Below are 24,865 nucleotides of genomic sequence, written 5' to 3'. Positions count from 1 at the left end.
TAGAAGAGAAAATCCCATTTCCTGAGGAGAAATTTGAGCTAGCTGCAGATATTTTCATGAGTAATGAGGAGCCAAATGTTAATCCCCAAGACAATGGGGAAAGTGTCACCAGGGCATGTCAGAGACCTTTGTGGCAGCCTCTCCCATTACAGACCCAGAGATCTAGCAGGAAAAAATGGTTTTTTGGGCAGGGCCCTGAGTACCTGTACTGTATGCAGCCTAGGGACTTGGTGCCCTGCGTCTCAGCTGCTCCAGCCATGGCTGAAAGAGGCCAACATAGAGCTTTGCAGTGGCTTCAGAGGGTGCAAGCCCCAAGCCTTGGCAGTTTCCACGTGGTGTTGAGCCTGCAGGTGCACAGAAGTCAAGAATTGAGGTTTGGGAACCTCTGCCTAGATTTCAGAAGATGTATGGACGCCTGGATGCCCAGGCAGAAGTTTGCTGCAGAGGCAGGGAACTCATGGAGAACCACCGCTAGGGCAGTGCAGAAGGGAAATGTGGGGTTGGAGCTCCCACGCAGTCCCTACTGGAGTACCACCTAGTGGAGCTGTGAGAAGAGGGCCACCGTCCTCCAGACCCCAGAATGGTAGATCCACCTACACCTTGCACTGTGTGCCTGGAAAAGCTGCAGACATTCAATGCCAGACTGTGAAAGCAGCCAGGAAGGAGGCTGTACCCTGCAAAGCCACAGGGGTGGAGCTGCCCAAGATTATGGGAACCCACCTCTTGCATCAGCATGACCTAGATGTGAGACCTGGAGTCAAAGGAGATAATTTTGGAGCTTTAAAATTTGACTGCCCTGCTGGATTTTGGACTTGCATGGGCCCTGTAACCCCTTTGTTTTGGCCAATTTCTCCCATTTGGAATGGCTGTGTTTACCCAATATCTGTACCCCCATTGTATCTAGGAAGTAACTAGCTTGCTTTTGATTTTGCAGGCTCATAGGCAGAAGGGACTTGCCTTGTCTCAAATGAGACTTTGGACTGTGGACTTTTGGGTTAATGCTGAAATGAGTTAAGACTTTGGGGGACTGTTGGGAAGGCATGATTGGTTTTGAAATGTGAGAACATGAGATTTGGAGGGGCCAGGGATGGAATGATATGGTTTGGCTCTGTGTCCCCACCCAAATCTCATCTTGAATTGTACTCCCATAATTCCCACGTGTTGCGGGGGGGACCCAGTGAGAGATCATTTGAATTTTGGGGTGGTTTCCCCATACTGTTCATGTAGTAGTGAATAAGTCTCACGAGACCTGATGGTTTTATCAGGGGTTTCTGCTTTTGCATTTCCTCATTTCTCTTGCCACTGCCATGTAAGAAGTGCCTTTGGTCTCCCACCATGATTCTGAGGCCTCCCCAGCCATGTGGAACTGTAAATACAATTAAACCTCTTTTTCTTCCCAGTCTCAGTTATGTCTTTATCAGCAGTGTGAAAATGGATGAATACAGATGACTTGCCTGAAGGTCATACAAACGCCCTGCTGCAGAAGGTCCCCCTTGACAGCCATGGCCCTCTGCCTGTAGCCCCCACTCTCTGCTTCATTTTCTCAGCTCTTCTGCAAGGCCACTGCAGCTCACATGGCTGTAAGCTTCCCAGGGCCTCTTCACGAGGCTGTAGGTCTCTCTTTATGTCTTGTCAGGGCTCTGAAGCACAGCAGCACCAATGAGAAGCTCTTGAGCTAAGGGGCTCTGGGAAGGGAAGGTCTTTGGCCAGTTTCCTGGAGACAAAGCCCAAGGGCAGAGTCTCTGTGCCTGTTCCTTTTCTCTGTTCTCTGTTCTCTCTCTGAGAGGCACTTTTGAACTTCTTTTAACCCTGCTGGTGGTGTAGACAATACACTAATCCCAGCTCATGTTTGGTGGGGGTGGAGGAAGAGAAGGCCCCCAAGGGAAGTGAAATAATCCACATAGCAAGCAGGCAGGACCTGTGTGCCGGGACCCAAGCAGCTGGAAATGTGAGGCTGTGCTGAGTGTTCTTGGGTTGGAGGCCACTCAGACTTGGAGGAAAGAGAGCTGCAGTGAACGTGAATGTGACAAACGTGCAGTGAATGTGACAAAGCTGAGTTCTAGACTTGGCTCTGCTACTGACCGGCAGCGTGACCTTGCCCGGTCATTTAACTCTATCAATTTTCTCATGTGCACAATGGGAGGAAAGTCTAATGCCCAGGATACAGTGGGATAAAATTATAATGCTGTGTCAAAAATAATATATCATCATAACAATGTGAATTTATGTGAATATGAACAACATGAAATTGCCAAATCGATTTGGATGGGAATTCTGGGCAATATAGGCTTGACTATAGTCTTTGGTCCCTGTTTAAAATGCATTCTTGGTCTTCCTTTACTAAAGCTGCTTTTTTAGCAGCTCTTTCTTGTCTTGCCTGAGCTAATGGGAGAAAGGTGGCATGTGTGAGCCACAATGTGGTCACCGTGATAAGGGATGCTGAGTGCCCAGGAGGGCAGACCCAGCAGGGGAGAGTTCTTCTCAGCTAGGCCTAGGGTAACTAACGGGCAAAGACTGACAAGGTGGACCGGCTGGAGATGGAGCGAGGGCAATTTCTCTGTGTCTCGTAGGAGAAGATAATGTGGATTGGCTGCCTCCACCTCATGCCTTTTGGCACTGCAGAAGCTTCATTTTTCAGAATTAGGACCCAGTGTTCTGAATGCCAATTAAGATGATTTAATTAGAAACTGTTGTAGGACATTGAGAGGGTGAAAGTGAGGCAGAGCTCACCTTCCTGTCCTTTTGTATATTTTCTGTGGAAAGCAAGGAGATGGGGCCAGGCGTTTCTCCACCACCGTGTCCTAGGCCCCTTCCCCACATTTGTGGGGTTGATGGCAGTGGCAGTGGTGTGTTCTCAAACTCAGAGCTCCTCCTGCCTCTCCAGCCCTCTGATGGTTGTGTAAGCAGCAGGATCCTGAATGAAATCCTTTGGCATCTGCTTAGAATAGCTAGAAGAGCTTCTGAGCCTACACTGAGCCTTGCTGGGGGGAATGGCCTGAGGTCTTTGCTGCTGCAAGGCAGGCTCCCTGCAGAGGCCTCTAAGGGGACAGCTCAGGAATGACACCCCACCTACCTTATCTCTCTCAATCCCTTCTGGAAGGGGTGGGGTGGGGTGATGAGGCACCTGGGGTGGGAGTTCCTGAAAGGAAGGGATGGCTTGTTAAAGAGGTACTGCTTAAAAAAAAAAAAACAACAACCCTGAAACCCTGGGGGTTTTTTTTCACTCTGCTTAACATGATTACCTCTTCCTGGCTTTAGGAATATCATTCATAGGCCCCTTTGCACAAGTAAAACAGGCTAGAGTATTGAAAGCCTAAGGGAAAAACAAACAAAAATGTCCCCCTACCCAAAGTCAGAAAAATTCAAATGCTCCAAATCCAGGGGTCCAAACTGAGATTCTGCTTCCCTGGCCTGCTGGAAGCCTCTGCCTGGAGTGTGTCCTGATCACTGCTAAGGTTCCCCCTCTTTCCTTCCTGTCCCTGCCCTCCCCTTCCAAGGCAGGATTCGGGAGGAGTGTTGTTTAATTGTCCCCAGGTAGACAGAGCAGTCTTGACCTTTCCTTAGCCGCCCACAGGCATGGAGGGAAACAGCTTTTCTAGCAAGAGAAGTGACAATAATGGTGACATTTGTTAGCATTCAATATGTGCCAGCCTTAAGTCATCATCTCACCCAGCCTTATGTCATCAGGCAAAGGTGAAGAGTTCCTTCTTACTGCATGCCTTCTAACTCTCCCTAAGTGAAAAAATAGCTTTCTTAATTTTAAATGAAAAAAAAGTGTTATTTAAAGCCAGTATTAGGGGAATTTTCTCTTTAAAATGGCATTTGACCAAGAGTCTTCTCATTTCCCTCTAAAATACATAATAACACACAGAAAAAGGCAAAACTGACAGCAGCAGCAGAAACCAAGACAGGTAGTAACTCAATTGCCAGAGAAATTTTACCGACTACCTGTAATAGTCATGGAGCTGAGGTCAGAAACATGATTTGAAGCAAGCACATGTCTTGCTTTTTGAAACAGAGCAACAATAAGAAATTGGTAAAAGGTCCTTTAGCCTTATCCTGCTTTTTGCACCATTGACTCAGAGACCTAGTGTCTGTATCAATCAGCAAACTAGACAGGGATCCCCTTTCTTCAAGGCATTGTGTTTTGAGATAGCTGTGTGTCCCCATCCTTACTCCAAGGGTGGACTCCATTCGGCTGGCATTGTACTGGACTACAAGGTATTTAGGACTCAGGAAACAAAAAAGCAGTAAAGAGAGGATGTTATCAGTTGCATCCCAAGAGGTCTGGTCCCACAAAGGAAGAGCAATAAGCAGGAATAGCAAACACAAGGAGAGCAATGCATTCTGGGACCTAAAGATGTTCACATACTTCAGGCAGCCTGGAACAGGAAACTCCCTACTAGACCCATAGAGCAGTATAGGATGAATGCAACTGAGCCAGTACTGTGTATATCAACCATAGTATATCACCAGCATCTAAGAGGACACTTATCCTTCAATTTTCCATGGCAGAGAGATCTTCCTACTTTCTATGTAAACTTAGGTAAGCTTTTTCATTCATCTATTTATTTATTCACAAATATATATTATAGGGTCAAGCAGCTATGGCAAAACGTGAAAGATTTTACCTGAATAAGCAGGTTCTTATTTTACCCATGTCAAAGTAGCTTTTTTACTTCATTGCAAGCATCATTCATTCATTTGCCTTCTCACTCATTCAACAAATGTTTATTGCATGTCTACTGTGTGCCAAGCCAGCACTCCGTAGGTGCTGGAGATGCTGTGGCCAGTGATCCTCCTTCAAGGAGCCAAAATAAGAGAAATAAATGATCTCGCAGAGGCTTATGGGCACTACTGGAGCACAGAAGAGGGGCACTAGGACAGAGACTCCTGTTGTCAACCAAATGCGTTCTCCCCATTGAACAGAATTGTAGCCAGGCACATGGCTCCCCAGTCAGACTACATTCCCCCACCCTTTCTTGCATCCGTGTGTAGCCATGTGTGAATTCCTGCCAATGGCATGTGAGTTGAATCCTATGTGCCACCTCTGGTCAGGCCTTAAGATCTCTTCCGTGCCCTTCTCCTGGAACCCAGATACGGTGGCTACCGAGCCTCAGCCATGCCAATGATGACAATGCTGTAGGGGAGTTGACCCTAAGGGATGGAAGAACAATAATTTGGAAGGAACCTAAGTCCCCAAGTGACCTTGAGGAGCAGAGCTGACCTAAACCTTTCACACTGTTAGAGGATAGTGAAACTTTTTGTTCATTAGGCCATTGTATTATTGGGTGTATGGCAAGGTATCAGCCCTAAGTCACCATCAGGTGTAACACTTTAGCTTAAATCAGTTCACATGATTGCTTTCCCTGAGAACAATGACATAACGTATGAATCTAACAGACCAGAGGCCAGAAAGTTAAGAGTTGGAGTTTATGGAAGAACACAGGTATGAAGGAATCAAATCTGGTGTGCTCACAATGGGTTCCTAATGTACACCACCTTGTTCACTGCAAGGTTTGGCAATAAAATAGAATAATATCAATGATGTCCTTTATGATGCTTTCAAGGAAAGTTAAGTAAATGGGTAAGCTATCTCCATTTTAAGCTTTTTCCCACACTTTTGGCCCTTGTTGCTTTCCATCTGCCTGCCAGCAGACAACACCAAATGAACTTAGCGCAAACAAAGTATTTTCCTACTTAAAAATATATTTTAAATTACAGAAGTGGCCCGTGTTTATTGTGAAATAAGCTATATAGAGGATGTGATGTGCAGTCACACTTCCCCATTCCCAGGCCATGCTCAAGGAACCTCAGTCAAACATTTGGTGTGTCCCCTTCTTTCCTTTGACCTTTCCTGGGAGGCAATGTCAGAGTGGGAGCTGAAGAAGGGTGGGGCCTAAGAGGTGGCTGATGTGGTTAGAAAATTGGTTAGGTACAGGGATTGAGCAAATAAGTAATTACACTGAGGATAATGTGAGTCAAGCTTCTCATTGTTGGAGAAGGGAGTTACAAAAGCAGATATGGGGTGAGGAGTTACAAAAAAGGAAAGCAGAGAAACTAGAGGGAACCTGAGGTGTTGGGTTGGAGTTGGAGGTATTAGTGTGAACTCATGGTTTTAAATATATATGTACTTAGATACACAGATATAGTTATTATATGCATTATATTATATTAGAGGATATTATATGCATTATTATAATATAATACATGCATGTGTACTTACCTACATATGTGTCATATCTGCAAAAAGGGCTTAGAAGCAATGACATCCCAAAAGGAATGAGCAAGCAAGCACACAGATCTTGGTTTCTAAATCCTACCTTCCACTAAAAGAAGAATAGACTGATCCCTGGGCTGGGGCTGGGAAAATTCAAGAAGAGCCTTCCTGGGACAAGTGAGAAAGTGCACAAAGAATGAGGGAGTCATATGAAAAGGACAGAGGAGCCAGCTTAGAGGGCCTCCCATAAGCCAAATCTGAGACAATTTGAGCATTAACATAATGATGTAAATAAATTATATCCTGTGACTAAAATAGAAATTCATGAGCCCATGCTGACATAAATACAAAATGAATAAATAAATGGGAAGAAGGGAAAGCTCTTTTTCACAGTAGAATGCCAATCATTTGCCTCTAATTGTAGTGCTGGTTGATTCAGGTAGGAGTCAACAATGGATGAGAAGGAGTATCTCCTCACAAAATTTTTTTTTATTTTTATTTTTTGAGACGGAGTCTTGCTCTGTTGCCCAGGCTGGAGTGCAGTGGCACAGATCTAGGCTCACTGCAAGCTCCGCCTTCCGGGTTCACACCATTCTCCTGCCTCAGCCTCCTGAGTAGCTGGGACTACAGGCACCCGCCACCGCGCCCGTCTAATTTTTTAATATTTTTTAATAGAGACAGGGTTTCACCATGTTAGCCAGGATGGTCTCAATCTCCTGACCTCGTGATCCGCCCGCCTCAGCCTCCCAAAGTGCTGGGATTACAGGCATGAGCCACCGTGCCTGGCCCACAAAATATTTATCAATTTATGGTGAAAAAACCTGACACCACCACCTTGACCAGGCGATTAAGGTTAACATCACCAGTGGTGGGGCAGATCAACCTCATGTACTTCCTGATGTGATGCACTGAGAAGAGCCCAGCATCATTTATATGGAGCCCCTCCATGAAGGCATGGCTGGGGTCTGGACATGAGCAAATAGTGGACAACCCCAGGTCGAGGGACATACTACAGAATGAAAGGCCCCTACTCTTTTAAACTGTCAAGGGCATGAAGACAGGACAAGATGGAGGAAATGGTCCAGAATGAAGGAGAGTAGAAATATGACAACAGAATAAAACTTGTACTCCTGGATTGGATTCCAACCAGAAGAGAAAAAGACATTGTTGAGACAGCTGGTGGTACTTTGATGGGGTCCATGGATTGTATGGTAGCACAGTACCAATGCTTACTTCCTAGTTTGAGTGGTTGTGTTGCGGTTATGTGGAAGAGAGGCCTTGTTTAGGGGGAATACCCACTGGAGTATTTAGAGGTGATATGACAGCATGTCTGCAACTTAAAAACTTTAAAAAAAGAATAGATCAATGGATGCAGCTAGACGTCATTATTGTAAGGGAACTAACACAGAAACAGAAAACCAAACATTGCCTGTTCTCACTTTATAAGTGTGAGCTAAACATTGAATACACAGGGACACAAAGATGGAAACAATAGACACTGGGGTCTGCTTGAGGGGGAAGTAAGAGGGGGGCGTGGGTTGGAAGGATACCTATTGGGTACTAGGCTCACTACTTACGCCACGGGATCATTCGTACACCAAACCTCAGCAACACACAATTTACCCACTTAACAAACCTGCACATATACCCCTGAACCTGAAACAAAAGCGTAGAAAAAATATTTTCTCAGACCAAAGAAAAAAAAATGTATTTCTATGCTTGGAAGGAATGATTTTACAGAGGGCTTCCAGAAACATGTCTGATTTTCAGGTGCAAGATCAGAATGTTCCAGTTATATTGATAACCTCCAGAGAAACAAACTCTCATGAGTAATCTACTCAAAACAGAAGATGTAGTTAATTATTTCTAGAGTACTAAATTGTACTCTACTATTAAACAAGTTTGGGATCGCTATTTTCCAGCACATTTTCTGAAGTAACAACTGTGTTTGGCTGTGTTGACAATAAAGGTCTGTGTGGAAAAGGGGGAAAATGAATAAAGCGATGTATCCCCCCACTCGCGAAAAAAGAAAATAGTTCAAATAGAATGGAAAAAGAATAATGAAAATGAGAATATTCACAGCGAGAAAGAGGGCAACGGAGCAAACGTGAAAACTTAGCAAGTAGAGAGCGTGGCGAAGGGGGTACAGGAGCTCTTAGAAACTCTTCTTGCCATTTTCCCCGCAACTTTTATTTCAAAACGAATTCTTAAAAAAGTTTTGTGGATATCCATCACATTTTTCTGTATACACATAGCCAGAAGCTCAGGCCCCAAGACAGATTGATTAAATGGGAATTTGGGGGACTGGAACCGTGGCATGTGGATTGAGAAAAACACCACTACCACGCTCCCGGCGGTTCCAGGTGTGCAGCCGGGGCTGCGCTCCAGCGCTCCCGAGTCACACCTGTGCGGCTTATTCAACGCGATGCCTGGACGCAGCCTCCAGAGAGGAGGCCGGGATTGGAATACGCAGCCGGGGAATGGTTGCAGGTGGTCCAGCTCCCGCCCCCGCCCCGCCCCCGCCCGGGCCTCGTGCGGCCCCGGGTGCGCAGGTGAAAGCCCGGCCTCAGCGGCCTCGGCCCTGCCATGGACCCCGCGCCCGGCGTCCTAGATCCCCGCGCCGCGCCGCCCGCGCTCCTGGGCACCCCGCAAGCCGAGGTGCTGGAGGACGTGTTGCGGGAGCAGTTCGGGCCGCTGCCCCAGCTGGCCGCTGTCTGCCGGCTCAAGCGGCTGCCCTCGGGCGGCTACTCGTCCACTGAAAACCTCCAGTTGGTGCTGGAGCGGCGGCGTGTGGCCAACGCCAAGGAGCGTGAGCGGGTGAGGGATCCCTAGGGTCGACGTCCGTTCCCCCCTTCCCTGCTCTACCACCAAACACCTGGTCAACACCCGGGGGTCCGCTCACCGCCCACCCCCGCTCGAGGCGACTTCGAGCTCCCGAGGCCTCCCACGCCCCCAGCTTGTCAGGAGAATGGCAGTGGCCTCCTTCTTCTGCACCTCCGTGCAGCTGCTCGTTGGCGGCCGCTGCGGTGGCCGCCTCGCCCGCTAACCCTCCAGGATTTGTGCAGGACCCGGGTCTGGGAGGGGACAGAGGAGGGGCCCTGACAACTTCAAAAATGTCTCCCTGGGCAGGTGCTTTAAAAGCTTCGCGCCCAGGGGGTGCGCCTTCATCTCACACCGTAGGCGCTGGTGGGTGCTTGGGACGCGCAGGGATCCCCTTCGCTCCTTTTTCTTGCTCTCTGCATCTCGGCCTCGAAGCACACACGAGGGTGAGGAGAAAGGGGGGCCTGACGGAAGTGACTTTTCTTTTTTAAAGTAACGAAACACGACGTCCCAGTGTGCACCCAAGACTCCCACTCAACTCTGTCAAGATAAAGTGAGTGTTTCCCAGTCGAGCCGCAGCAACTCGCAAACGGGAAGGGTCCTGTGGGCCGTGGTTGGAGCGGCACCTGCTGGTAGATTTTACTATCTAACGAAACTCAGCCCCAAACTTGGGAGACATGGTCTCCTTCCTAGCGTTTGCAGTCTACGGGTTTGGTTGCAGCAGAGGCGAATCCAGGAGAGAGAAGGGTGAGGGGTAGAAGAGGGAGCAGAGCGCACGTTCAGGACTGGGACTGGGGAGAGAAGTACCGCCCGGGGCTGTTCCTAGGCCTTTCAGAAATGTCCCAGTGAATCAAGTAGGAGCTTTGCAGGGAGAGGGCAAGCGCAGAAAGGACGACAGGAGAGTAGGAGACTTCTTTAAGTCTCCTCTTTTACCAGTACTAGACTCTTGATGGACAGAACCCTGTGATCTGATTCGGTGGCCCTACAAAGAGATTATGATCTAATAGTTTAAGTGGTCCTTCCCACCAGGAAGGAATTGTCTTCTCCAGAGAATCAGTCCTGGTTTTATCCACTAAAACACGAATAAGCTTTATTATTCTTTATAATGATAAGGTTAACACACTTGGAAAAGACAGAAATGAGTGAAGAAGTTAAGAGACACAACACAGATATAACTACTGTGAACATTTTTGTGTATATCCACCCAGTCTTTTTCTAGTTTTGTGTATTCATATATATATATATATAATTTTTACAAAATATTCAGTACATATTTGTGTAATTTTTTCCACTTAACATTATCAAAAGCATTTTCTTATATTCTTAAGTATTCTTTCAAAGAATAGTTTTTGACTGCATAGTCTGTCCAAAAATGGACCATAATGTATTCAGTCTCTTATTGTTAGGCATGTTTGCTGTTTGTAGCTTTTTACCGGTACCTATCGGTGTAACTCTATGTGCGTGTCTGATAATTTCCTTAGAATAAAATGCTACAAGTGAAATTACTGAGACTTAAGGCATATACAATGGAATGGCTTTTGATACAAGTTACCCAATTGCTTTCTAGATAGGTTTACTAATTTTTATCCCTTCTTACAGGTCTAGGACTGTTCTCTTTTTCAAGCTATCCCTTATCCTGGGTATGATAAAACAAAAATGTTACCACCTTGATACATAAAAAATGGTATCTAATTTCTGTTTTAGTTTGTAGTTCTTTGATTATTAAATTCTTTTTATACACTGAGTGGTTGTTGTATTCTCCTGTGAATTGGCCAACTATGTCCCTTGTCTGGTTTGCTCCAGGGTAGGATATACTCAATATATATTGGCTTTGTGGCATAGTGGGAGCCAGTTCTCCCAAGGCCTGTATCTCCCAGGGGGATGAACATCAGAATTATAGGCCTTCAGAGACAGGGATTAGACTCTGGAGAAGAGAGAAAAATAAAATATGAGGAGCCTTTGAAGTCTCACCAACTCTCTGGATTCTCACCCTTGCCTCTATATCATTAACTCAGTGGGGAAAGAGTTTGAAGAGCTGATGGCTCAGTGCTTGAGTTGACAAGTATTTGTACATTTGATTCATCACCAGCAATACCACTTCTTGAGGACTTTCTATGTGCCAGGTTTGGGTGAGGTATCTTATTTGTACATTATATCACTTAATCACACCCCCCAAAAAGCTTTAAGATATTTTCCATTTTGCAGATGAACAAACAGGCTTAGTGATGTGAAGTATTCCACACACTCTTGTAAATGATAGACCTGGATTTTAAACCTGGGTGTAGTTAATTCATATTTTAGCCACTCCTCTACTGCCTCCGCATTATGATACAGCGGGTATGCTCTCAAAAGAAGAGGAGTGAGCTCAGCATGAACATGAACACACCTTGCAGCCCATCTGCCCATAGTACCAAGTTTATGCCATTCCCTCTTCCTTTACTATGAACTGCACTGCTGGTGGAGCACTGACTCTTTGGGGCATATGCCTGTTTAGATTTGCCACTCAGACAAGGAGGCAGTGGAAACAACCCCCTTCTGTAGCTTGGGGAGATGTCTATACAAATTGGCTTCTCTGTGTGTTACTGTGCCTTTTTGTTTTCTAGATAAAAAATCTCAACCGTGGTTTTGCCAGATTGAAGGCACTTGTGCCATTTCTTCCCCAAAGCAGGAAGCCCAGCAAAGTTGATATCCTTAAAGGTGCGACTGAATATATACAGGTTCTCAGTGATCTTTTGGAAGGAGCCAAAGACTCAAAGGTAAAGGTGTAAGATTTTAGAATAATGATAGCCACCATTTATTAGGCCTTTTCTATGTACGAGACACTGTGCCAAGTGATATATGTATACTTTCCACTTAAGGTTTATAACCTCTAAGCTATTTTTATGACCCTTATTTGACAGAGAAGGAAACCAAAATATAGTTAAGGCCATACAGCTCTGAAAAAGTCAGGACTGGGATTTGAACCCAGAGCTACATGAGCTTTAGAGTTGAGTCCCTGACCATCTATACTTGCCTATGGTCACTATCCAGGGCACCTAGCTCCTGACTGTTGAATCTTTGATAGGATTTCTACAGCTGGACATAGGAGGGGGCTTTCCTAAAAGCACTTTGGTTGTTTCCCTACAGTAGAATGCACATCAGACAGGACACAGGAAGGAAGAGGCATTTCTTTTCCCCAAGGAACCTCTCTTAGGAGAGACCCTCCCTAAGGCCAACTGAAGAGCTCAGCAATGGTCTGGTGATACCAGTCTCATGGGGTTTTGCAACCATTCAGCAGGAATGACACAAATGGCCCTGTAAACTGTGAAGTATCATAATGTCACCACCATTATGAGAGTGAGATAGCTCAGAAGTGTCCATTAGGCAAAGTAAAGTGTGGACTGGTTTTATGGACTTGTTCCAGGGAAAGGCAAACATTGATGGGCTGAAAATGAATCAGTCATCTGGGGAAACAAAATAGGAAGAGAGAAAAGGCCTTAGAAATGAGCCCTAAGCAACTCTGTTGGTAGGAGGAAGGAATCATCATTAGAATGTGGCAAGAAGGTAGAGGAACAAGATGGGGTCATAAAGTTGAGGAGGAGAGAACCTTAGGAAACTAAAGGTGAGGAGTGTGAGAGGTTACAGAGAGGCTGAAGAAGGCCAGGACTGGGGGAAGCACCATGTCTAGCACTTGAAAGGTGAAAGAGAATTGGGCTGGGCATCAACTTGGAGGAGATTGAGGGTGCATGATTGGTAAATATCTGGAATCCAAGCAGATTCAGAGGAAAGTGGCAAACTTCAAGTCCATTTAACCTAGAAGTCTGCCAGGCGCGGTGGCTCACGCCTATAATCCCAGCACTTTGGGAGGCTGAGGCAGGCAGATCATGAGGTCAGGAGATCGAGACCATCCTGGCTAACATGGTGAAACCCCATCTCTACTAAAAATACAAAAAAATTAGCCGGGCGTGGTGGCAGGCGCCGGTAGTCCCAGCTACTCAGGAGGCTGAGGCAGGAGGATGGCGTGAACCTGGGAGGCGGAGCTTGCAGTGAGCTGAGATGGCGCCACTGCACTCCAGCCTGGCAACAGAGCGAGACTCTGTCCCCCCCCAAAAAAAAGAAAACCTAGAAGTCCGAGAGTGGAAAGAAGAACCACCCCCCACCCCACTCCCTGCACCCCCTGCCAAAAAAAAAAAAAAAGGCAGAAAAGTTGTTAGATCAAGTGAAGGTCTTTCCTATGTAGAAATTTGATCATGTTTAGGAACAGAAGGAGAGATACTAGAGAGAAAAGAAACAATTATCCTAGAAATTTGGGGCAGAAATCTCCAGGTGTATGATAGTACCTTTGAATATTTTTTTCTTCTCCATTAGTCCTAGCCAGGTGACTGCTAGGAAGCTACATTCTGCGATGGCAGGAGTGAATTGTCCTGTTGGTCAAACTGGATGGTTGGGTTTTGGTATGGTCACAGTGTTTGGACATGTGTAGGTGGCTACCTTAGTTTTCTCTTGCATGTCAATTGTGTAACAGAAGTGCTTTGTTCATTGTAAAACATACCATCTGTTCCATGCCATAATATTTTTAATGCAGTTACCTATTGCATAACATTTTAAGATGATAGGAGAACAAAATACGGTCAATTGAACAATGCTTTTCTCTCCATAATGACTTAAGCATTGCCCTTATCATTTAAATGAAACCTCATCAGTTAAAACTTTGAAATATATTAGTTTAAGTCATCAAAATCTTTCTGTCATATTATACTGTTTGACAACTAAATATGGTTTCCAGAAACAAGACCCAGATGAGCAGAGCTATAGTAACAACAGTTCTGAATCACATACATCCTCGGCAAGACAGCTGTCAAGAAACATCACCCAACATATCAGCTGTGCTTTCGGCTTGAAGAATGAAGAGGAAGGGCCTTGGGCAGATGGTGGCAGTGGTGAGCCAGCACACGCTTGTCGCCACAGTGTGATGTCTACGACTGAAATTATCTCCCCAACCAGAAGTCTGGTAAAATATTCCTTCTTAAATACCCATACAGATATCAGAACCTTAAAATGTATACTTTGAGATATGAGTCATTTTTCCATGCTAAAACATGATTAAAACAAGATAATTTAATGAAAGCCTTTGGGTGGGGCAGTGGGGTTTACTAGTTTGGGAGATTATTTTGTTTCTAAATTAACTGGTAAGCGGCTCCAGGGAAGGGGAAACTCCTCCAGAACCACCCAATACAGACCTAAGCTTATCTTTTAAATGAAACTATTTAACCCCAGAACCACCCAATACAGACCTAAGTTTATCTTTTAAATGATCCTATTTAACCCCAGAACCACCCAATACAGACCTAAGTTTATCTTTTAAATGATCCTATTTAACCCATCAAAAGGTTTTCTGGACTCTATGGTCTCCAGAAAAAGAAGTAAGTAGCTTGCCATACATAAAGATGCATGTTTGGTGATACTTTTTTTTTTTTTTTGTGGTGGGGGGTGGTGCTGGTTGTAAGACAACATTTTAAATGAAATAACAAAGGAGTTTATTGTCTGTTATTACTTTGTCAACTAAAGAGACAGCTGGAAGTGGCAGCATGCTTCTCCAAGTCCAGAAGTGGACTTTTTGCCCTTGCTGTGAACTGGTATTCATAAATGAGGCCCCTGCTCTATCCTACTCTGCAACACAATTACTATTGAAATAAGAAAGGTGTATAGGAATGTGAAGTAAGCATGCTGTAACAAACATGTTGCATGGTATGATATAAGGGACAGTGGGGGCTGTGGAGTCACAGATGGTGGTTGGAGGGAGGCAGTTGAGGCGAGCAGTTGAGAGTAGGCTCTGGGAACAGACTACTGAGGTTTAAACCCTGGTTTTACCACTTGCTAGCTGTATAATCTTGCATGAGCTACTAAATGCCTCTAATCCTCAGTTTCTCCATCTGAGCAATGGGTATAATAATTGTACCTACCTTGTATATAAGATAACTAACTCCAAATGATATCATGTCAGCAAAGTATCTGGCATAATACCTGTCACGTCACTTGGATAGATACCAACTTCTCTTGACTCATGAGCAATCAACATTGATTAGTGAGCAATAATGAGCCACAGGTATTCTAGCTCTGTAGCCAGTGTTTTGAGTTTTCTCACTTGGCTCTCACCAATGTTGTGCTCTGATTTGAGGTCCTACAGGCTTCCTGCTGGCTGGTGGGGGCAGGGCAGGGGTGGGGAGAGAGGTGGTGGGCGGCCTTGGCTTCCATTTCTGATTAGATTAATTGTGTTCTAGGATTCATTTGTGCATATGCTCAGTGTAGATTTTCATATTCTGACCACTTGAGATATAAGATTTCGCTGGCCAGTCAACCCATAGGAGACAGAATTCCTGTTGCTACTACATGAGCTGACATGGAATGACTAAAAGCAACAACAACAAAAGAGTGGGGCCAGGCGCAGTGGCTCACAATTGTCATCCCAGCACTTTGGGAGGCCGAGGTGGGCGGATCACCTGAGGTCAGGAGTTCGAGACCAGCCTGGCCAACATGGTGAAACGCCATTGCTACTAAAAATCAGGCGTGGTGGCGGGCACCTGTAGTCCCAGTTACTCACTCAAGAGGCTGAGGCAGGAGAATCGCTTGAACCTGGGAGGGGAGGTTGCAGTGAGCTGAGATTATGCCACTGCATTCCAGCCTGGGTGACAGAGTGAGACACCATCTCAAAAAAAAAAAAAAAATGACCTGAGCTAGACCTTGAGCCTGACTATCTAAGAAGAGTAATGCTTCTGCAAATGCTAGTATCAAGGTGAAAATCTTACTTGCACTTAATCCTCATTGATCCTTGTCAGGTAGGTGTCATCATGTCACTGTCATGGTGAGCCACCTGGCTACACCTTCCTGCCAGTCCTGTTGGACCTGGGCTGGGACAGGAGCCTCTGCAGTAGCAGAGCAGGCCTGTGCTTGGCAGTACTAGTAGCAAGTACATTTGATGGGAGGTCCTTGTTTTCCAAGGATAATTGAACCTGGGCATAGGCCACGTATAGTACACTAATTTAGAGTGGGGACTAACGTTTCCTAGTAAAAGCCAGAGATGTTCTGACTGGAATTTCCTTCAAAAAAGGGAGTAAAACACTTAATATTTAGTCTTTTTAGCCAACCAAGTTTGTTGTTAATTGGAAGAGTGCTAATTTGTAGAATGAACCAAGGAAGACTCGACGTTTGAGATTTTTATAGACAGTGCATGTCACTTCTGTCAAGTATGACTTCTGAGGCCTGATTGTAAAGAGTGCCATTTTTTTGCAGAAGCATTCTAGTATTTCATCAGTTTTGTCAAGGATTTTTCATCCTTTCACATTCAAATCATTTTTTTTTTTTTTTTTTTGAGACAGAGTCTCGCTCTGTTGCCAGGCTGGAGTGCAGTGGCACCATCTCGACTCACTGCAACCTCCGCCTCCCGGGTTCAAGTAACTCTCCTGCCTCAGCCTCCCGAGTAGCTGGCTCACACCACCACACCCAGCTAATTTTTGTATTTTTAGTAGAGATGGGGTTTCACCATGTTGGCCAGGCTGGACTCAAATTCCTGACTTCGTGATCTGCCCACCTCAGCCTCCCAGAATGCTGGGATTACAGGCATGAGCCACCATGCCCAGCCATTAATTTTTAAAATTAAAAAAATTAGTCTGAAACAATAGTCAACTTATAGAAAGGTTGCAGGTGCAGTACAAAGAACTTTTTTCCTGGCACATTTGAGGGTCAACCTGATGTCCCATCACCCCTAAGGCTTCAGTGTACATTTCTTACAAACAGGACATTCCCCTGCATAGCCACAATGCAACCACTAAGTCTGGGGATTAATGTTGCGGCGTTACCGCCATACAATCCTCAGGTCCCATTCAAGTTTCACCAGTAGTCTCAATAATGTCTCTTCTAGCAAAAAGACCCAGCTGAGAATCATGAATTACATTTAGTTGCCATGGCTCCTTCAGTCTGGAAGGAGAGTTTCTTGGTGCTTCTGTGACTTATAACCATGACACGTTTGGAGATTACAGGCCAGTTGTTTTATAGAGCGTGTCTTGATCAGCATTTGTCTGTTTCCTTTCGATTAGATTCAGATATGCATCGTCGGCAGGAATAACAAAAGTGATGCTGTTTTCTACTCATTGCATCCTATTACATGGGGCAGATTTTGATTTATTCTATTTCTAAGGATATTCACTTTGATCACTTGCTTAAGGTGGTGACTGCCAAGCCTTTCACTTTAATCTTTTTCTTTTGTAATTAATATGTATTTTGTGAGGAGGTGCTTTGAAACTATGTAAAGATCTCATTACTCATCAAACATTCTATATTTATTTATCAAATCTGTAATTTGGAAGTAATTATAGATTCACAGGAAGTTGCAAAAATAGTACAGAAAAGTGCTGTGCATCCGTAGCCCAGTTTTCCGCAATGGTTGCATCTTCCATAACTATAGTATAATATCAAAACTGGGAAACTGACATTGGTACCACGTATGCATAGTTGTATGTTGTTTTATCACACGTGTAGATTCATGGAATCACCATTGCAATCCAGATGCAGAACTGTTCCATCACCACAAAGATCTTCACGCTGCCCCTTTATGGTCACACCTACACTCTGCTCCCAACCCTCCATTCTTCCAAACTCCTGGACATCACTAATCTGTTCTCCACCTCTATAATTTATCTTGAGAATGCTATAAAAATGGGACCATACATTATGTGACTTTTACAGATGGTCTTTTTCCACTCAGATGATGCCCTTGAGATCATCCACATTGTATAAATGGTCTGTTCCTCTGCTTTTTGCTGAGTAGTCATCTGTGGTGTGGATGTACCACAGTTTAACTGTTCACGTAAATATTTTAGAACATTTTGGTTGTTTTTATACAGACATTTTTATATTAGTATGAGCTCATGGTTTTCTGTTTAATTCAGTGGATTATTATATACTATCATTTTTTATTATTTTATTGCTCCAATTGTCCCCACTGTGGCCAGCGAAAGCTCCTTAAGCTGGCAGCCTTTCTGTTTGATATGTCATCACGATTATTTGATCATTTCCTTTTTGGCAGAAGGTGTTCCAAGCTCATCTTGTACTTTTCTATCCCAGCCCTGGAATCAGCCACTTATCTGAGGATGCCCCTGTGTATAACCCATCTCCCATCTCTGTTGCCATCCCCTCACCACATGGCTGTTCTCCTCACCCACTTGAACTTTAACACTCATGGCAAGCTGTACCTCCGCAAAAACCTCCTTCTTGGCTCTGACGTTCCACGCCGGTCCCCTCATATGTGGATTCCTCCTCTCCCTGCTCTCGCTAAATCACCTGCACACACAAGTGCCTGGCCTACTCAGCTCAGGTTTCTCTACTCCATGCTGAACTGCCCCTTTCCATGGACTTCTTACCCAGCTTGGGCTCTGAGTCCCCAGGCCAGGCCTCCACTCCTTTCATGGGGCTGCCGTTCTCATCCTGATTGGGCTGTACCATGTTTGCACTGGACCACACCCCCCATGTGAATATGCCCCTCATCTGCTGGATCTCTGATATCCTGCGCTGGGCTGCCTCTGTATGTGGGTGCCATCTCACCCTGCTTGGGCTCTGATACCACTTCACTTGGGTCACTGTGGCTTCTCACTACCTAACTGTGACCCAACTGATGACATTAGTACTGAATTGTTTAGGAGGGAGAAGAACTCGCATTTTCTTTGAAGTACCTACTGTGCAGCCGTCTTTCTGGCTAGTTTTCTCTTTGTTAACATTTATCTCTGAGATCTTTAATTATATGTGAGTTGAGCGATTATTCAATATCACCTTTATTAACTGTATAAAAAGCTTGCATTTTACAATCAGGAACCAGGGTGGGCTCAAGATAAAAAGGGTCCAAGGAAGTGATGCTCAGGCTGACCTTTATTTGACAAAAGGATCCTCGTAAAGATTCAGCCCAGCTTTCCTGAAGCGGTGACTCCATAAGGTTTCAGGATCCTGTCCAGACTAGAGACCTAGTGACAGATAATGTGACTCATTGGACAGAAATGCTCATATCCAGAGGAGCTTAAGATTTGGGAGGCAGGCCCTCTCCAGCTTCAGTTTGCAGGAGTGGCACCCTTTTCCCTACCCTTGATGAGGACCCAGGGAATGAAATCCTGGTAGTGGCAGGGATGGGCGTTTTGGGGGATTTGGAGATGGGGTCAGAGCAGGCTGTGCAAGATCAACAACATTCCTGGGAGGCAAAGTCCCAAATGAAGTGCATGAGAATCTGCTGATGACAGGGATGGAGATTAACGTCTGGGGCCAGAGCCCCAGAAGTTCACTCGGGGAATGAATTGGCAAGTATTCGTGCAGACAGAGAGGGCCGTGAGCCATGAGAAGCCACAGCATGTGGTGTTGGTAGGGAGAAAAATTAATTTCAAGGTCCAGGAGAGGCCTGTTTAAAATTAGAGCTTCAAAGTGTAGGTTTTTGCCATATTGGGGTTGGCATTGCTAGATGGCAGGCTGTTCGCTGTCTTGCCATTGTATATTCCTTCTATTTGCCACTCGTGGTTATGGTTCTGGCATTTCATATTATGCATGGCTCTAAATTTTGTTCAGAGTTGCCAGTGACACTGTAGAGACCATGTCTCTAGACAAAGACCACCCTCAATTTTGGAGTGAGATGCCAAGAGTGCTGGGGCTTGAGGGCCTTTGGAAAGGGACATATGGAGAGACATAGTATCTGTTACAGGGGCCTTGGTATGCTGCCAGTATATATTTCCAAACTCTGGCATGTCATGGGAATGTTCCTTGAAAGAGTTTCTGAGAGAAAGAATCCTGTGTGGATGGTAGACTCCTACCACCCCTGTTCCAAGTTGCGGTAATCTGTGAAATTACTCACTGGGGACATTTCTTCCTATAGCATTTTAAGCTCTGAAATGAGACGGTTTGGCTAGTTGGGATGAATTCATTAGCACCTTGGGAAAGACCTGAAGCCTCTTTCTTCTGTCTTCCACCTCACATTCCCCCAGGTAGTGGCTCTATACGATGGTAAAACTTCTACCACAGTAAGTGATGGGTCTCGCTTTGCTTGAGAAGCACAGTCATCTGCCCTGGGGTTCACCAATAGCCCATGGGGCATATTCTGATGAGATTAGTCAGCCCAGCATTTTCCAAAGTTGTTTCCCATTTAATGGGGTGGGTGCCTTCTGGTTTGTCCCAGTCCTCCCCACTCCTTCCTGCACCAGAGTAGCATATTTCACCTGGTAAGGTGTTGGGATTTTCTGCCCTGGTCTAAAGGCACAGTGGCTCAGAGGAAAAGCTGCTCCGGCGACTGCATTTATAGCCCTGGGATTTTACTGTGCTCTCTATACTTTGGGGATTTAGGGGCTGGTGCTGTGATGGTGCCTATGCTTGTGGTTCTCTGGGATTTTGGAAAGAGCCTTGCTTTTCAGATTATCATAGGAACAGGGACTGAACTCTAAAGCTGAGTGAGCAAGGATTTCTGTTTACCCCATCTCCCTCACCAAGCCTGGCTCAGTGGGTGGAGGAATGTACATTGGATAATACGTCAAATTCTGCAGCCACACTGCCAACAATTGGAGTGTGCCTGCCTTCTTAAAGATATTAAGCAGCAAACTGGGTTTCTATTCTCCAGACTACCCTCTTCTTGGACCTTAAACTCTTTGGCTTAGATGAGACCAACAGCCAATTTTTAATGAGCTGTGACAATAAAGACAACATTTATAAACTTTGGCAAGTTTTTCTATTCTCATACTTAAATATTACGTTTCTGAAATTTTCCAGCTAATTCTTAAAAACAAACTAAAATAAATGTTCTAAAATGCAGTAGACTATAGGCAGAATATTGTCATCCTTTAATCCTTCAGGTAAATTTATATGAATTTGTCTCAAGTATAAAAAATTCTAAATATGAAAAAAATTAAAATTTATTTTAAAAATAAAGCTTCCAAAGCTAGGTCTGAACTATAAAAAGAAAGAAATGTTGATCACTTGTATAGTGGAAAGACTCGATCAAGATTAGAAAAAAAAAGCTACTCATACATATTTTGTGTCAGAGACTGCTCCTGGCAGTGTATACATATTAACCTATTTAATTTTCACAACCACCCTGTGCTATACAAACAATTATATCCATTTTACATGTGAGGAAACTAAGGAACAGAAGTAACTTGCCCAATACCTGCAAGTCAGTGAAGTGTTGGGGTTGGGGGGGATGTGGGTGATAGTGTTAAGTCCTTTTTAACCACTTTCGTTCTAACAAAACTCAACTTTGAAATGTAAAGGAGGGTGGACTAGAAAATAGATAAATGTTTAAGGCTAAGTTAAAGCATTTGATTGCGGTGCTTTACCATCCACAGTGATGTACATAATAGGTTTCAGTATCCAAAATGCCTGACCATGACTTGAGCGGCTTTATTTTTCAGTCATGGGTTTATTTTTTCTTCAAGTTGAGAGTTTCAGAAAATTGAGCAGAGACAAAATGATCTTGCCACGTTAGTAAAACCACTGATGGAAATACACTAAAATCCTTCCCATTTCTTTTCCTTTGCAACTAAAATAAAAAATTATCATCAGGTACATAACATTGTGTGCCTGTTCTTGATTTTTCTATCACTGGCATGTTTATGTGACCCATTAGGTGGGACAATTTTTTTACTGTTGGCCACTATGTTCTCAGTTTTTTGTTCTCTTAAACGTGACAAATAACCGATGTGTTTAGCCCTTTCTGTATTTTGTATTGTTTTTGCAGGATAGATTCCCAGAAGTAGAACTGCTGAGTCACAGGTAGGTCATTCTATAACCTGATGCATAGTGCCAATTTATAACACCACTGGCTGTATAATAAGAGTGCTAATTCCATCACATTCTTAGCAATGAGCTCTATTAAAAGAAGGAATCTTAATGGGTAAAAAAGTAGTATCTTTAAATTTAAACATCTTTGATTACTAATAAAATTAATTTTTTGCATATTTCTTTATTTCTTTTGTAAACGGTTCTTATTTTTAACTATTTATAATGGAATGTTTTCTCTGTTTCAGACTTCCACAAGTATGAAAAATGAAAAGGCCCAGGGTTACCTTCTAGAGACAAATAAATGCAGTCTTGAAAGTTTTGGAGTCTCTCTTTTTTTTTTTTTTTTGAGATAGAGTTTCACTCTTATCACCCAGGCTGGAGTGGCACGGTGTGATCTCGGCTCACTGCAACCTCCGCCTCCTGGGTTCAAGTGATTCTCCTGCCTCAGCCTCCTGAGTAGCTGGGATTACAGGCATGCGCCACCACGCCCAGCTAATTTTTGTATTTTTAGTAGAGACAGGGCTTCTCCACGTTGGTCAGGCTGGTCTCGAACTCCCGACCTCAGGTGATTCAACCACCTCAGCCTCCCAAAGTGCTGGGATTACAGGAATGAGCCACTGTGCCCCGTGGGAGTCTCTTTTTTAAAAAAGAAGTTTTGTAGTAATTCCGAGTTTAACAATTACCCTTTTAAATAGCCTTGCCTCTCTCAAGTTTACTCCACTCTGCCTTCTCCTTAACTTCATGCTTTGAAGAAATAGGCTTCAGGGGCTTCATCCTTTGCTTCCAACTCACTGTCATCCTCTGGGGACCTACATCTTTTTTTCATTGCTTTGAGAAATAAGTGACTGTTACCCTTCCAATAGAAATTAACCTTAATAGAAATGAAGACTTAAGCTAAAAGAGTTGTAAACATTGGCCAAGGGGAGTGAGAGTTTTCAAGGGTTTCTAGATACCCAGCTAAGGCCAAATGGCACCTTTTGTGCAAGGTAGACAGCCAAACACCTTGAGCACAAAGACTTCGTCTTTATAACCATTGCTCACAAAGACATAGTACTTATTATATGCTGGATTCTGTTCTCTATGCTTTCCATGTGTTAACTTGTTCTTACAACAAGCGTAAGATAATGGCATAAGTATCCCCATTTCACAGATGGGAAAACCAAGGTACAGAAAGTATAATTAGCTTAGCCTGCCTTAACAAATACCATAGACTGGGTGGCTTAACAACGGAGATTTATTTCTTATAGTTCTAGAGGCTGGAAAGTCCAAGATTATGGTCTGGCATTGTTCAGTTTCTGATGAGGGCTTTCTTCCTGGCTTGCAGATGACTGCCTTGTCACTGTGTCCTCATATGGCAGAGAGATAGCTAGCTTTGGTTTCCCTTCTTCTTATAAGGGCACCAATCCTATTGGATTAGGGCTCCATCCTGATGACTTCATGTAATCTTAATATCTCCTAGAGACCCTGTCTCCAAATACAGCCTTATTGGGGGTTAGGCTCTCAATATATGAATTTTGGGTGAACATATGCTGTTCATAGCATTCTGTCCCTAGCCCTTCCCCCAAATTCATTTTATCACATGCAAAATATATGCATTCCACCCCAGCAGCCCCCAGAATCTAAACTCATTCTCACTTTAAAGTACAAAGTCTCATTTAAATATCTTCTAAATCAGGTATGGGTGAGACTTGAGCTATGATTCCTATCTTTCTCCAGCTGTGAACCTCTGAAACCAGACAAGTTATGTGCGTCCCAAGCACAATGGTGAGACAGGTGTAGGATTGACATTCCTATTCCAAAAAGGAAAAATAGGAAACAAAGTGTTAATGGGTCCCAAGCAAGTCCAAAACCTATTGAGGCAAATTCCATTATATCTTAAGCCTCAAGAATAAATCCTCTTTGCTTTGATGCAGTGTCATCCTTGTGGCTTGGCAGGGTGACCTTCCCTCGGAAACTGAGGAGGAACTCAGCTCTTCTCCTGCCTGTGCCCCCTCCTCCAAAACATACACACACACACTGAGTGGCCACCCTGATCTCTGAGTTGCCTTTGGGGTCATTTCTTTCCTTTGCTTAAATAGTGCATGTTTGTAGCCAAATAGTGATATGGTCTAGTCCTATAGAATCTGAGAAGGCTGACAGCTTACCTTCATTCTTTCCCATTTTCTCTGTCCCCTTTCTTTCCAGCTATCAGGGTCTTTCTGGTATAATCCCGTCGGTATTCCTGGCTTCAGCTGAGATGGCTAATTAAGTATATGAGTCACACTCATGATCTGTTATCAAATGGTTGCTCAGCCACACCCTTAGTGATCTCTTCAGAGTAAGCTTTCTTAATTTTTGCAATATGGATAGGTTAAGAAATTTTCCAAGTCCCCAAGTTCTGGTTCCTTTTTTTTTTTTTTTCTTTTTAAGACAGAGTCTCTATCACCCAGGTTGGAGTGCAGTGGCACAGTCTTGGCTCTCTGCAACCTCCACCTCCTGGGTTCAAGCGATTCTAATGCCTCGGCCTCTTGAGTAGCTGGAATTACAGGTATGCACCACCATGCCCAGCTAATTTTTGTGTTTTTAGTACAGATAGGGTCTCATCATGTCCGCCAGGCTGGTCTTGAACTTCTGGCCTCAAGTGATCCACCCACCTCAACCTCTCAAAGTGCTAGGATTGCAGACGTGATCCACCACACCCAGCCTCTGATTCCTTTTTGCTTTTGATTTCTTCAGTTTATCTCATGTTTCCCGAATTTTACTATAAGCAGTAAGGAGGACCCAAACTGCACCTTTAATACTTTGTTTAGAAATCGCTTCTGCTAAATATTTAATTTTATCACTTGCAAGTTCTACCTTCCCAAAAGCACTAGAATGCTATTCAGCCAGATTGTTTGCCACTTTATAGCAGGATCACTTTTTTTTTTTTTTTTTTTTGGAGATGGAGCTTCACTCTGTCACCCAGGCTGGAGTGCAATGGCACAATCTCAGTGCACTGTAACCTCCGCCTCCCAGGTTCAGGCAATTCTCATGCTTCAGCCTTATTTCTACCAACATTCTGTTTCTGAT

At 44.3% G+C, this 24,865-nt stretch overlaps 1 protein-coding gene across 1 annotated transcript; it reads left to right on the top strand.

The window, feature by feature from the left end:
- Positions 8,802-22,135, top strand: FIGLA (folliculogenesis specific bHLH transcription factor). The gene is made up of 5 exons (NM_001004311.3): positions 8,802-9,037; positions 11,644-11,796; positions 13,806-14,030; positions 21,774-21,808; positions 22,063-22,135. The coding sequence occupies exons 1-5, from the start codon at positions 8,807-8,809 to the stop codon at positions 22,076-22,078; spliced, it is 660 nt and encodes a 219-aa protein (NP_001004311.2). The 5' UTR covers positions 8,802-8,806; the 3' UTR covers positions 22,079-22,135.

Source organism: Homo sapiens, chromosome 2, assembly GCF_000001405.40.
Source record: "Homo sapiens chromosome 2, GRCh38.p14 Primary Assembly".
Taxonomy (NCBI): Eukaryota; Metazoa; Chordata; class Mammalia; order Primates; family Hominidae; genus Homo; species Homo sapiens.
This window is presented reverse-complemented; position numbering and strand designations above follow the sequence as displayed.